We start from the raw sequence: 14,535 nt of genomic DNA, 5'->3' as shown, positions 1-14,535 counted from the left end.
GTAAAAGCCAAAGCCCCAGGAATAACCTCCCAGGGCTTATGTGATCTGTACTGATCTCCACCCAGCAATTCCCTGGCCCCCTTCCCCTAATTCTCTCCCTCTCTCCGTCTGCTCCATGGGCCTCCTTCCAGAGCCGCAGACACACCTCAGACACTTTATTCTATTGTTTCTGCCTACAAGCCTCTTCCCTCAGCACCTTGGCCAGCTCCTTCCCCTCCTTCAAGTCTTTACTCAATTTTCACTTAGGAGGCCACCCCTGACCATTCTATTTAACATTGCCATCTGTCCCCATGCCCACCATGCTCATTTCTTCTTTCTTTACTTTCTTCTTTCTTTTTTTCAAGATCTCACTGTCACCAAGGCTGGAGTGCAGTGGCGCAATCACAGCTCACTGCAACCTCAAATTTCCAGGCTCAAGTGATCCTCCCACCTCAGTCTCCCGAGTAGCTGGGACTCCAGGTTCATGCCATCATGCCTGGCTAAATTTTTTAGTATTTTATTTTATTTTATTTTGAGACAGAGTTTCACTCTTCTTGCCCAGGCTGTAGTGTAATGGTGCAATCCCAGCTCACTGCAACCTCCACCTCCCAGATTCAAGTGATTCTCCTGCCTCAGCCTTCCAAGTAGCTGGGATTACAGGTGCGTGCCACCACGCCCAGCTAATTTTTCTATTTTTAGTAGAGCCGGGGTTTTGCAATGTTGGCCAGGCTGGTCTCGAACTCCTGACCTCAGGTAATCTGCCCACTTCGGCCTCCCAAAGTGCTGGAATTACAGGCATGAGCCACCATGCCTGGCCAATTTTTTCATTTTTTGTAGAGACAAGGTCTTACTATGTTGCCCAGACTGGTCTTGAACTGCTGGCCTCAAGTGATCCTCCTGCCTAAATTCCTAAAGTGCTGGGATTACCGGCATGAGCCATCATGCCTGGCTTCATGTTCATTTCTTCTTGCTGCTGCAACATAGTTTGCAGTTTCCTACATTTAGTGGCTTAAAACACCACAAATCTACCATCTTACAGTTCTAGGGGCCAGAAACCCAAACTAGGTCTATTAAGGCTAAAGTCAAGGTGTCAGCAGGGCTGCATTCCTTCTAGAGACTCTAAAGTGTTCCCTTGGCTTTTCTAGCTTCTAGAAGCCACCCCCATTCCTTGGATCATGGCCCCTGACTCCATCTTCAAAGCCAGAAGTGAAGCATCTTCAAATCTCCCTCTCTTACCTCTGCTTTCATCACCACATCTCCTGCTCCAATTCTGAATCTCCTACTCTCTTTCTTTTATAAAGACCCTTGTAATTGCTGGGCATGGGGGCTCCCACCCAGAATCCCAACACTTTGGGAGGTCAAGGCAGGAGGAACACTTGAGGCCCGAAGTTTGAAACTAGCATGAACAACATAGTGAGACCCCCGCCTCTAGAAAAAAATAAAAATAAATATTAGCCCAACATGGTGGTATGCGCCTGTAGTCCCAGCTACTTGAGAGGCTGAGGTGAGACAATCGATTTAGCCCAGGAGTTTGAGATCAGCCTGGACGACATAACTAAATCTCATCTTTACAAGGATGAGGTGGGAGGATCACTTGAGCCCAGGAATTTGTGGCCAGCTTGGGCAACAAAAGAAGACCCCATCTGGCCAACATGGTGAAACTCCGACTCTACAAAAATGAGCTGGGCATGGGTGACATGCATGTGTAGTCCTAGCTACTTGGGAGGTTGAGATGGGAGGATCGCTTGATCTCAGAAGGCCAAAGCTAGAGTGAGCTATGATCACATCACTGCACTCCAGCCTGGATGACACAGGGAGATTCTGTCTCAAAAAAAAGAAAAGAAATATATATTTCATCTCTGTCCCTGGTTCCTGGCACAGAGCTTCTAAAGCTCTTACAAAGACCTCAGTGATAGATGTGACAGGAACATCTTTTGTTTTAATATTTGGTCTTGGTCCCAGGTTTCTAACACAAGAGCCTCTAAGAATTTTGGGATCTCCAGCATGGTAAGAATGCATTTGGGGATGTTGTTGAGATGACTGGGTGACTGCAAGCTCCTAGATTTCTTCAGGAGGAGGGCTGATTGCCAATGGAAGCAACCACATGATTAGACGCTTGGAACTTTCAGCCTCATGCACTGAACTCCAGGAGGAAGAGGGGCTGGAGACTGCCTTAATCACCAATGGCCAAAGATTTTATCAATCATGCTTGCATAATAAAGCCTCCATAAACACCCTGAACAGGGTTTGCGGAGCTTCCGGGGTTGCTGAACACAGGAGATGCTGGGAGGGTGGCATGTTCAACAGAGGGCATGGGAGCTCTGTGCCCCTCCTAACTTACCTTGCCCTGGGCATCTTTCTTTTTTTTGAGATAGGGTCTGGCTCTTTTGTCCAAGCTAGAGTGGAGTGGCACAATCTCAACTCACTGTAACCTAAGCCTCCCCAGTCCCCAGCTCAAGGTGTCCTCTCACCTCAGCATCCCTAGTAGTTGGAACTCTAGGTGCACACCACCACACCCGGTTATTATTATTTTTTTGTTTTTTGTAGAGACAGGTTTTCACCATGTTGCCTAGGCTGGTCTCAAACTCCTCAGTTTAAGCGACGTTCCCACCTTGGCCTCCCAAAGTTCTGAGATTACAGGCGTGAGCCACTGCATCCAGCATGTACGTCTCTTTCATTGGCTGTTTCTGAAATGTATCCTTTGCAATGAACCAGCAATAGGAGATGAACTGGCCAGATGCGGTGGCTGACATCTGTAATCCTAGCACTTTAAGAGGCAGAGGTGGGAGAATCACTTGAGACCAGGAATTTGTGGCCAGCCTGGGCAACACAACAAGACCCCATCTATACAAAAAATAAATTAGCCAGATGTGGTGGTGCAGGCATGTAGTCTCAGCTACTAGGGAGGATGAGGTGGGAGAACCACTGGAGCCCAGGCAGTCAAGGCTGCAGTGAGCTATGACTGCACCACTGCACACCAGCCTGGGCAAAAAAATAAGACCCTCTCTCTTAGAAAAAAAGAAAATAAACTGTTTTTCTGAGTTCTGTAAACTGTTCTAGCAAATAATTAAACCCAAGAATAGAGTTATGGGAACCCCCAATTTGTAACAGGTTGGTCAAAAGTACAGGTGACAACCTAGGACTTGCCATTGGCATCTGAAGTGAGGATGGTCTCGTGGGACTGAGCCCGTAACTTGTGGGGTCTGTGCTAACTCCAGGCAGTGTCAGAATAAAATCATGGGATACCCAGTTAATATCCAGAGCACTGGAGAATTTGGTGTAGAAACTCCATACATACATTCAGTCGGAAGAGTGTGAGTAGAGACAAACATGGGCTTTTCTGTCACCTGTCTACCTGCTTAACTGCATAGGAGAGGAAATACGTGGTGCTCATGAACAAAGCAAACATTAAAGTCAGACCAGACCCAACATTTGACTCAGTCTTAATATCCAGGTGAGCTTGGGCAAATCATTCATTATTCCTAAGGCTTCATCACTCCATTCATAAAATGGGGATAACTGTGGCACCTACCTGTGATTCTGTGAGAATTAATGAAATATTATGCTTGGGGTTATTATGATCATTCTATTCCAAACTATTTGACAAGGACAGTGATGAATGATGACATCAAAAAATCAGAAACTGCAATGAGGTCTCTCAGGCAAAATTCCATACAAGCAAATTACTGTCTCTACAAAGCATTCCTGCCACACCTAATTCACCATTCCCTGAACAAAATATGCCATCTTCGTTGTTCAGGTCTGTACAGTGCTGGTTTCCCTTCCAGGGCAGTTTGCGCTATCCCATCCCAGCCCATTCCCCATCCCTCCACCTCCCCCTTCCCTCCCCTCTCTCATACAACTCTTCCTCATCTTTCAGGACTTGGCTTCAATGTTACCTTAACTGGAAGCTTCTCTCACTCTCCAGAAGAGCTTCCCATTGCACTTGATGCATGCACTATTATTTGATCATTTTTAACTTACAGTCCAAATCTTTTTGTACCTGAATAACATGTTGCCCAGTCAGTCTCTCTTCCTGGATTCAGAAGTCTTTCATGGTAGATCCAGCTGGAAGTGACAAAAAGACATCTTTTGACATAAAGGGATGACACAGACAGACATAAGTTCTTAAACGTCTTAAATGTTATGTGAAAATTAAACAGAATTCAAAGACTTGTGGGGAACACTTAGGAGGGAAAGTTACTGGGAATGTCATAAAGGGTTAATTTTTATTTTATTTTATTTTATTTTATTTTATTTTTTGAGACAGTTTCATTCTGTCACCTAGGCTGGAGTGCAGTGGTGCAATCAGGCTCACTGCAGCCTTGACAACCTGGGCTCAAGTAATCTCACTTAATTTTTATTTGGTTTAAGAAAGTCTTGGTTGAAGGTGGTGGCTTATGCCTGTAATCTCAGCACTTTGGGAGGCTGAGAGAGGTGTATTACTTGAGGCCAGGAGTTTGAGATCAGCCTGGGCAATATATTAAGACCCTGCCTCTACCAAAAAACAGAGTGAATGTGTGGAAGACAATTTTTCCACAGATTGGGAGTGAGGGAATAATTTCAGGATGATTCAAGTGCATTACATATATTGTGTACTTTATTTCTATTATTACTACATAGTAATATATAATGAAATGATTCTACAACGCACTATAATGTAGACTCAGTGGGATCTCTGAGCTTGTTTTCCTGCAACTAGACTGTCCATCTGGGGTGATGGGAGACAGTAACAGAATATCAGGCATTAGATTCTCATAAGGAGTACACAACCTAGATCCCTCGCATGCACACTTCACAACAGAGTTTGTGCTCCTATGAGAATCTAATGCTGCTGCTGATCTGACAGGACATGGAGCTCAAGTGGTCATGCAAGCGATGGGAGGGGCTAGAAATACAGATGAAGTTTCCCTTCACTCGCCTGCTGCTCACCTCCAGCTCTGTGGCCCTGTGGTTGGAGACCGCTGCTCAAGTGCATTCGAAAGGATCCATCCCATGCCATTCTTCAGAGTCATCTTTACTGCTGCAGTGGTCAACTTGTAGCACCCCTAAGCTCGCAGGACATATGCTTCAACTGGCATTTCACAATCAACACTATGTGGTAGCTTGAGTCATTGTGAGCTCACTTCCTGGAAATCACCAGCATCCCATACCCCATTAGCAAGGAGCTCAGCACTGCTCCTTGGATAACCAAACCTATTCCCAAATCCCATCTGTATGCGTCTATCTCCTGGTACCCTTCCTAGCATCAATTCTGTATTTGTAGGAGTCCAATCAGGAGACACAAACCACTCAACAGTTTAAACTAGAATGAGCAAGGTGGCTCACACCTGTAATCCCAGCACTCTGGGAGGACAAGATGGGTGGACTGCTTTGAGCTCAGGAGTTTGAGAACAGTCTGGGAAACATGGCAAAACCTCGTCTCTACAAAAAACACAAAAATCAGCTGGGTGTGGTGGCACTTACCTATAATCCCAGCTACTCAGGAGGCTGAGGCAGGAGAATTGCTTGAGCCTGGCAGGTGGAGGCTGCAGTGAGCAGAGGTTGTGCCACTGTACTCCAGCCTGGGTGACAGTGTGAGACCCGGTATCAAAAAGAAAAAACGTATATATATGTAAATTTAATATAAAAAGTATTAATTTCGGCCAGGCACAATGGCTCATGCCTGTAATCCCAGCACTTTGGGAGGCCAAGGCAGACAGATCACCTGAGGTCGGGAGTTGGAGACCAGCCTGACCAGCATGGAGAAACCCCATCTCTACTAAAAATACAAAATTAGCTGGGCATGGTGGCACATGCCTGTAATCCCAACTACTCGGGAGGCTTGAACCCGGCAGGTGGAGGTTGCGCTGAGCCGACATAGCGCCATTGCACTCCAGCCTGGGCAACAAGAGTGAAACTCCATCTCGAAAAAAAAAAAAAGGTATTAATTTTTACAGAGGATCAGCACAATGAGGGACACACTAGCAGAAAGTAAAGACAACTCTAGAGAATATGGAACTAGCAGAGGCCAGGCATTGTGGCTCATGCCTGTAATCCCAGCAATTTGGGAAGCCTAGGCAGGAGGATCGCTTGAGGCCAGGAGTTGGAGACCAATCAGCGCTAAATAGTGAGACTCTGTGTCTACCAAAAAAAGAAACATTAGCCAGGTGTGGTGGTGGTGCACACCCGTAGTTCCAGCTACTTGGGAGTCTGGGGTGGGAGAATCCCTTGAGCCTGGGAAGTCTACACTACAGTGAGCCAAGATTGTGTCACTGCACTCCAGCCTGGGCGACAGAGTGAGACCCTGTCTTAGAAAGAAAAAAGAAAAGAAAGTGTTAATCCCCCTATGGGAATCTCCTCTTCTCCTGCCCTCTCTGGAACCTCACTTGTCAGTTCTTCCTCCCACTTTCCTGTATCTTTAACCTATCCCCCACTTTTAGCTCCTTCCCATCATAATTTAAATTACTCAAACTTCTTCTGTTTTAAAAACCTTTCCCTAAACTCAGTGAGAGGTATCCTGCACACCCATTGAGCCATCTGCTCTCCCTGGTGCCTTCTCTACAGCAGCCTGAGCCATGTCTCTAATCCATGAATCTCATCATGTTACTCCCCCATTTACATCACTTCTCCTTGCCTCAGGGATTAAGTCCAAACTCCTTAACAGCCCCTGCTCTGCCCTGCCTTGCAAGGCAGCCTCACTGCTTGCCCCTCTCCATTTCATCTGCTATGGAGTCCAACTGAGCTTCATCTGCCCCTTGAACGCCCACTCCTTCTCCTCTGGGAGTCTCTGAAGTGGGTGATATCCTCTGCTTATAATATGCTTCCCCTTAAACCTCTACTCTCTTCCTAGCTAGCTTCGACTCCTCTGTCACTTGTCCGCTTTGGCATCACCTCCTCATAGAAGACTTCTTTGACTGCCGAGATTCTCAGGAGCATGGCAGGTGAGGTGCTCCTCCCATGAATGGATGGAGATTAGGGAGTGTGTGTTATTCATGCTTAATTCACCAATGCTTAGCTGAGTACCTGGCATAAAATAGTTACTGTGGTGGCCAAAGTAATAACCCCCACCGCCGCCACCAATTGCTCATGTCCTATGTTACACAGCACAATTACATAGGAAGGGGGAATTAAGAGTGCAGATAAAATTAATGTTGCTCATCAGCTGACCTTAAAACAAGATTATCCTGGAGTATCTAGGAGAGCCCATGTAATTACAAGCATTCTTTAAAACTGGAAGAGGGAGGCAGAAGGTTAAGAACCAGAGACGGTGGGCACAATAGCTCATGCCTGTAATACCAATACTTTGGGAGGCCAGGGCAGGAAAATCCCTTGAGTGCAGGAATTCAAGGTCAGCCGTGGCAACATACTGAGGCCCCATCTCTACAAAAAAATAAAAACAAAATTCACTGAGTGTCACGATGCTTACCTGTAGTCCCAGCTACTGGGAAGGCTGACATGGTAGGATTGCTTGAGCCTGGGAGTTTGAGGCTACAATGAGCCATGATTGGACCACTGAACTCCATCCTAAATGACAGGGCAAGGTCCTGTTTCTAAAGAAAAAAAGGACATTGGAATCAGGGTCCTCTCCATCCTGAGGTGCCTACAAGGCATCTCTCTCTGCAAACGAGTAAACATCACCCTCCAACTCCTTACAGAGTGGAGCAGCAGGAAAACTCCTTCACCTCATTTCTGTGCTGCTTGGGAGGCCTGGACAGCCCAATAACCAGCTTCTTGCTGATGAAGCAATCAGGAAATGGCTCGAGTTGAGCTAAGGAGAATTTGGATCCTTCTTTTGGTTCTCAATAGGCAGGGTAGGGGCCAGGCATGGCGGCTCATACCTGTAATCCTTGCACTGTGGGGGGCCAAGGTGAGAAGATTGCTTGAGGCCAGGAGCTCAAGACCAGCCTGGGCAACATAGCAAGACCTGGGTGGCATATACCTGTGGTCTCTACTACTTGGTAGGATGAGGTGGGAGGATTGATCACTTGATCCCAGGAGTTTCAGGCTGCAGTGAGCCATGATCACACCACTGCACTTCAGCCTGGGTGACAGAGCCAGACCATGTCACAAAAAGTTAGAAAGAAAAAAAAGAGAGGGAGAGAGACTATACACAGGCACCACCACGTTTGGCTAATGTTTAAATATTCTGTAGAGACAAGGTCTTGCTAGGTTGCCCAGGCTAGTCTAAAACTCCTGGCATCAGGCTGGGCATGGTGGCTCATGCTTGTATCCCAGCACTTTGGGAGGCTAAGGCAGGCAAATCACCTGAAGTCTGGAGTTCGAGACCAGCCTGGCCAACATGGTGAAACTCTGACTCTACCAAAAATAAAAAAATTAGCTGGGCAGTAGTGGCGTGTACCTGTAGTCTCAGCTACTCGGGAGGCTGAGGCAGGAGAATCACTTGAACTTGGGAGGTGGAGGTTGCAGTGGACCCCATCACTGCACTCCACCCTGGGTGACAGAGCGAGACTCTGTCAAAAACAACAACAACAGCAACAACAACAACAAAAACAAAAACAACAACAACAAAAAAGACTCCTGGCATCAAGACATCTTCCTGTCTTAGCCTCCCAATGCCCTGGGATTATACTGTTTCCTATAATTGAAGACACTTGTTCTTATACTGCTTTAAGGTATAAAGGAAAAAAAAAAAAGCAGATAATGGCAAATGTTGGTGAAGGCCGGGCATGGTGGCAGCCTGTAATTCCAGAACTTAGGGAGGCTGAGGTGGGCAGATCACTTGAGGCCAGGAGTATGAGACCAGCCTGGGCAACATGGTAAAATCCCATCACTACAAAAAAATATAAAAATTAGCCAGGCATGGTGGTGTACACCTGTAATTTTCAGCTACTCAGGAGGCTGAGATGAGAGAATCACTTGTGCCTGGGAGGTCAAGGCTGCAGTGAACTGTGATGGCATCATTGCACTGCGGCCTGAGAGACAGAGCAAGCCCCTATCTAGAAAAAAAAAAATGTCAGTGAAGATGTGGAGGAATTGGAACCCACATACATTACTGGTGGGAACATAAAATCATGTAACCATTTTGTTTGGGTATTTCTTTTCTTGTCATTTTAATTGGATTTTAAAAAAATCAAGACAGGGTTTCACTATCTTGCCCAGGCTGGTCTTGAATTCATGGGCTCAAGCCATCCTCCTAGCTGAGCCTCCTGCGTAGCTGGGATTACAGGTGTGAGCCATTGCACCCAACTGGTGTAGCCACTTTAGAAAACAGTCTGGCAGTTTCTCAAAAGGCTAAATGTACAGTCATCCTATAATGCAACAATTTCACTCATAGGCATATATCCCAGAAAAATAAAAATATATGTCCACACAAAAACTTGTACAACAATCTTCATAGCAGCATTATTCATAATGACCAATACATGGAATACATGGAAACAACCCAAATATCCACCAACTGATGAACAAATAAACAAAATGCAGTGTGTCTCTACCATGGAATACTGCCATAGAAGGAATGAAATATTGATACACACTATGACATAAAGGAACTTTGAAAACACTGTGCTAAGAGGGAAAAAAGCCACAAAAGATCACATATTGTACAATTCTATTTGTCCAGATTAGGCAAATCTATAGTGACAAAAAAATTAATCAATGGTTGCCTAAGGCTGGGGGCGAAGGTAGGTGGGGAGAGTAGGAGGTAGCGGCTAAGGGGTATGGATTTCTCTACAGGATAATGAAAGGTTCTAAAAGTGACTGTGGTGATCAATGCACAGCTCTGTGAATATTCTAAAACCTACTGAATTGCAGATTTCAATAAATAAATCAATTGAAGGGTATGTGAATCATATATATTCTCCATTTGCCTTGTGATATTTTATTACCTTGTGAAGCATGTGATCTCTGTGACCCACACCCTATTCGTACACTCCCTCCCCTTTTGAAAATCACTAATAAAAACTTTTGGTTTTGCGGCTTGGGGGGCATCGCAGAACCTGCTGACATGTGATGTCTCCCCTGGACACCCAGCTTTAAAATTTCTCTCTTTTGTACTCTTTCCCTTTATTTCTCAGACTGGCCGACACTCAGGGAAAATAGAAAAGAACCTACATGAAATATCAGGGGTGAATTTCCCCCGATATCACACGGGCTCTTCTCTCACCTGTCTACCTGCTTAACTGCATAGGAGAGGCAATGCACGGTGCTCATGAACAAGGCAAGCATTAAAGTCAGACCAGAATAACATTTGACTCAGTCTTAATATTCAGGTGAGCTTGGGCAAATTGCTCATTAACCCCAAGTCTTCATCATTTTGAGCACATAATGGGGATAACTGTGGCACCCACCTGTTTTTGTGAGGATCAATGAAATATTATGCTTGATGTTACTGTGATCATGATACTATCTGACAAGGGCAGTGATGCATGATAACATCAAAAAATTAGAAACTGTAATGAGGTCTCTTGGGCAAAATTCCATACAAGCAAATGACCGTCTCTCCAAAGCATTCCTGCCACACTTAATTCACCATTCCCTGAACAAAATGTGCCATCTTCATTGTTCAGGTCTATATAGTGCTGGTTTCCCTGCCTGGGCAGCTCATTCCATCCCAGCCCAGCCCAATCCCCATCCCTCCACCTCCCCCTTCCCTCCCCACTCTCATATAACTCTTCCTCATCTTACAGGACTTGGCTTCAATGTCACCTTAACTGGAAGCTTCTCTCCCTCTCCAGAAGAGCTTCCCATTGCACTTGATGCATGCACTATTATTTGATCATTTTTGAGTTACGGTCCAAGTCTTTTTGTACCTGAACAACATGTTGCCCAGTCAGTCTCTCTTCCTGGATTCAGAAGTCTTTCATGGTAGGTCCAGCTAGAAGTGACAAAAAGACATTCTTAAAAAAAGAGGGATGACACAGACAAACATCAGCACTCAAAAGTTTTAAATGGTATGTGAAAAACAAAATTTAAGGGCTTCTAGGAGAAACGTAGGAGGGAAGGTGTTACTCAGAAATATGATAGAAGGTTAATTTTTATTTTATTTTTAGAGAAAGGGTCTTGCTCTATCGCCTAGGCTGGACTGCAGTGGTGCAATCACAGTTAACTGCAGCCTCAACCTCCAGGGCTTGAGCAATATTCCCATGTAATTTTTATTTTGTTTAAGAAATGCAGTCTTGCTCTTAGCAAAGCTAAAGTGCAATGGTGTGATCATAGCTTACTGCAGCCTCAACCTTCTAGACTCAAGTGATCCTCCAGTCTTAGCCTCCCCAGTAGCTGGGACTACAGGTGTGCACTGCAACATGTAGCTCATTTTTTTTTTTTAATTTTTAGTAGACACAAAGTGTCGCTATGTTGACCAGGTTGGTGGTGATCTCCTACACTCAGGATGTTCTCCCACCTCAGCCTTCCAAAGTGCTGGGATTACAGGTATGAGCTGCCACACCTGGCTGAGGGGGTTAATTTTTAATTATATAAAGAGCTCAAAGCAAATATTAGAAAGAGCCTAAATGCCTCCAGCAGTTGACTGGTACTGGTAAATTGTGATACATCCATATAATAAAATATTATGCAACCATGAAAAAGATTAAGATAGATCAATAGGTATTGGCACAAATGTCCACAAAATATGAAAATGTGAAGTGATGTTCAATCACCATGTACGTATCTTGAAGGATATGGCCCATTTTCTCAATAGCAATTATTTCCTGAGATAAGATTATGGGTCTAAAGAGTGAAGGAAATTTTTCACTTATTTAAAAGTATTTACTATTTTTATAATTTAATAAAAGATTAAACAGATCATTGAATTAGTAAAAGACAAAGTAACTCTATAAATAAATGGAAAAGACACAGATACCCCAGGCATGGTGGCTCATGCTTATAATACCAGTACTTTGGGAGGGGGTGGTGGGGGGATTGCTTGAGGCCAGGAGTTCCAGACCAGCCTAAGAAACAAAGCAAGACCTCGTCTCTAGTAAAAATAAAAAAATAAAAATAATTGGCCAGGCATAGTGGCACGTGCCTATAGTCCCAACTACTGAGGTGGAAGGATCACCTGAGCCTAGGAGGTCAAGGCTGCAGTGAGTTGAGACTGTGCCACTACACTCAAGCCTAGGAGACAGAGCAAGACTTCATCTCAGAAAAAAAAAAAGGACAATAAAGAAATAAAGCTAATAAGCTAACATAAGGAAAGATAAAATATGTGACAAATAGGCTGGGCGCATGGCTCACAGCTGTAATCAAGCACTTTGGGAGGCCGAGGCGGGTAGATCACAAGGTCAGGAGTTCGAGACCAGCCTGATCAACATGGTGAAACCCCATTTCTACTAAAAATACAAAAATTAGCCAGGCACGGTGGCATGTGCCTGTAATCCCAGCTACTCAGGAGGCTGAGGCAGGAGAATCGCTTGAACCTGGGAGGCAGAGGTTGCAGTGAGCCGAGATCACACCACTGCACTCCAGCCTGGTTGACAGAGCGAGCCTGCATCTCACAAAAAAAAAAAAAAAAAAAAAAAAAAAAATGGGTGACAAAGTAATAATATGAGGTCTTTCATTTATCACACAGAAAATAACTTGTTAAATTATAATACCTGTGTGGGCGAAGGTGCAGTGAAATGGCCATTTTCTTGTAGTACTAGTGGTGTTTAAAATGTATATAAGCCTTCCAGGATAGAGCTTGGAAATTTTTTTTAAATCATACAGACAGTGACTCATTACACTGCCTCCTCCAACTCCTGGCCTCAAGCAATCCTCCCACCTCAGCCTCCCAAAGTGCTGGACTTACAGGCTGACAGCCACCATGCCTGAAAACTTTGCAATTTACATCAAGGGTAATAAGAATGCTCATGCCCTGTGACTCACAGTAATCTCACTTTTGGAAATTTCATCTTTGGATATAATTCAACCTAAACAAAAGGTCACATGCACAAACACGGTGAAAATCTGGGAGTAATTTTTTCCTCTTTTTTTTTAAAAAATATGGAATGCTTCACAAATTTGCATGTCATTCTTTCACAGAGGCCATGCCAATCTCTCTATTGTTCCAACTTAAGTATGTGTGCTACTGAGGCAAGCATGAGTAATTTAAGATAGAGTGGTTAAGTGAAATAAGGAAGAATTATGGAGAATTTAAAAATCTATGCTATTTATAGGCATCTAGTAACAGCTCAGTAAATATTAGCTGCTACTATTATTATTTTTATGGTAATTTCACTCAATTAAAAATTGTCATTAAAAACTACCATTGTCATGGAACATAATGTCTCCTACAGTATAATTGTAAAAACAGATACAATTTGTCCCTTGGTATATGGGGTGATTAGCTCCAGCTCTCCCATTTCTGTGTATACCAAAATCCATGCATATTCAAGTTTTCGAAGTCAGTCCTGTGGAATCCACATATAACACAAATGGGAAAATTAGTGAGGTGTGGTGACAAGCACCTGTAGTCCCAGCTACTTGTGAGGCTGAGGCAGGAGGATTGCTTGAGCCCAGGAGGTTGAGGCTGCAGTGAGCCATAATTGCACCACTGCACTCCAGTCTGGGCACCAGAGTGAGACAGAAGGTTGACTTTTTAATAGAATTTTTCTGTTCACTTGAAGATATGGTCAGGATTGTGGCATATGAAAATTCTTCATAAAATAACTATCTAATCCAATTAATGCTGGAATTGGGAACAGCAGAAGTGTCATCTCAGAGCTACTCACAATGAAAGGTGATGTCTGGGGCTCAGGTGTGTTGAGGTCCCCATGCCTGGACTATGGGTGATGAGTGGGATTTACTTGTCCATCCATTTTCTATATTCCAGCACTGGGAAACTAGGGTTTATCCATCTTGATAAGATGTCATTTAAATTCCACTTCACAAGAACCACAAATGGAAGAAAGGCCATGAAACCACAGGACAGTACTTGTTCTCAAGGGAATCTTCAGCTTAGGTGGCTCTGTAAAAGAGAAATTACATTGTTGAAAAATCGTCGCAGGTCAGGTGAGGTGGCTCATACCTATAATCCCAGCCCACAGGGAGACTAAGGCAGGAGGATCCCGTGAGGCCAGGAGTTCAAGACCAGCCTGAGCAACACAGTGAAACCTCATCTCTACAAAAAATTAGAAAATGAACTGGGTGCGGTAAAACATTCGTATAGTCCCAGCTACTCTGGAGGCTGAAATAGGAGGATCGCTTGAGCCCAGGAAGTGGAAGCTGCAGTGAGCTCTGATCTCACCACTGCACTCCAGCCTGGGTGACAGAGTGAGACCCTGTCTCAAGACACACACACACACACACACACACACACACACACACACCCCCCTAATCTCAGTCTGTCCAGCCTTGACTAATCAAAAGGGCCTTCTGGTTACAGAAGAGGTATGCTCTTTTGTAGGATAGGGAGAGACCAGCAAGCTTGTTTACAGACTTTTCCTCATCCTCTGCTTAGTTTTCCAAGAACCCTCACAGTGGAAATGGAGTCTCTGGGAAAATGACCTAAATCTTTGGGTTACCAGGGGAGAAATATGCCTCCTTTGTCAATTAATAAATGGAACACGTGCCTTAAAATCCAGGGAGTTCTGCTAGAATGAATCACTCCCTAAGACCCTGACCTATGCATGGAAC

At 44.5% G+C, this 14,535-nt stretch overlaps 1 long non-coding RNA gene and 2 pseudogenes across 9 annotated transcripts in view; 1 reads left to right on the top strand and 2 right to left on the bottom strand.

Moving 5' to 3' along the window:
- GTF2IP13 (general transcription factor IIi pseudogene 13) overlaps window positions 1–14,535 on the bottom strand; it is a 36,002-nt pseudogene that overhangs the window by 2,554 nt on the left and 18,913 nt on the right. For 2 of the 8 annotated variants that reach the window (XR_007060308.1, XR_007060307.1), the window contains exons 8-11: window positions 13,632–13,867; window positions 10,734–10,798; window positions 7,388–7,511; window positions 3,983–4,047 (exon numbers count right to left, since the gene is read on the bottom strand). The product of XR_007060308.1 is annotated as a general transcription factor IIi pseudogene 13, transcript variant X6 (transcript). Of the gene's footprint in view, window positions 1–1,767; window positions 1,805–2,579; window positions 2,591–3,982; window positions 4,048–4,583; window positions 4,691–4,911; window positions 7,512–10,733; window positions 10,799–13,631; window positions 13,868–14,535 lie in introns of those variants that run through there. The other 6 variants (XR_242174.5, XR_007060309.1, XR_001745191.2 and 3 more) reach the window with 5 other exon arrangements.
- Window positions 12,898–13,001, bottom strand: RNU6-241P (RNA, U6 small nuclear 241, pseudogene; annotated as a pseudogene).
- LOC124901625 (uncharacterized) lies at window positions 13,526–13,874 on the top strand. The gene is made up of 2 exons (XR_007060310.1): window positions 13,526–13,747; window positions 13,827–13,874. It is a non-coding gene; the product is annotated as an uncharacterized LOC124901625 (long non-coding RNA).

The sequence above is a fragment of the Homo sapiens genome, chromosome 7, assembly GCF_000001405.40.
Source record: "Homo sapiens chromosome 7, GRCh38.p14 Primary Assembly".
Classification (NCBI taxonomy): domain Eukaryota; kingdom Metazoa; phylum Chordata; class Mammalia; order Primates; family Hominidae; genus Homo; species Homo sapiens.
The sequence above is the reverse complement of the archived record's forward strand: the minus strand, read 5'-3'. Positions and strand labels throughout refer to the sequence as shown.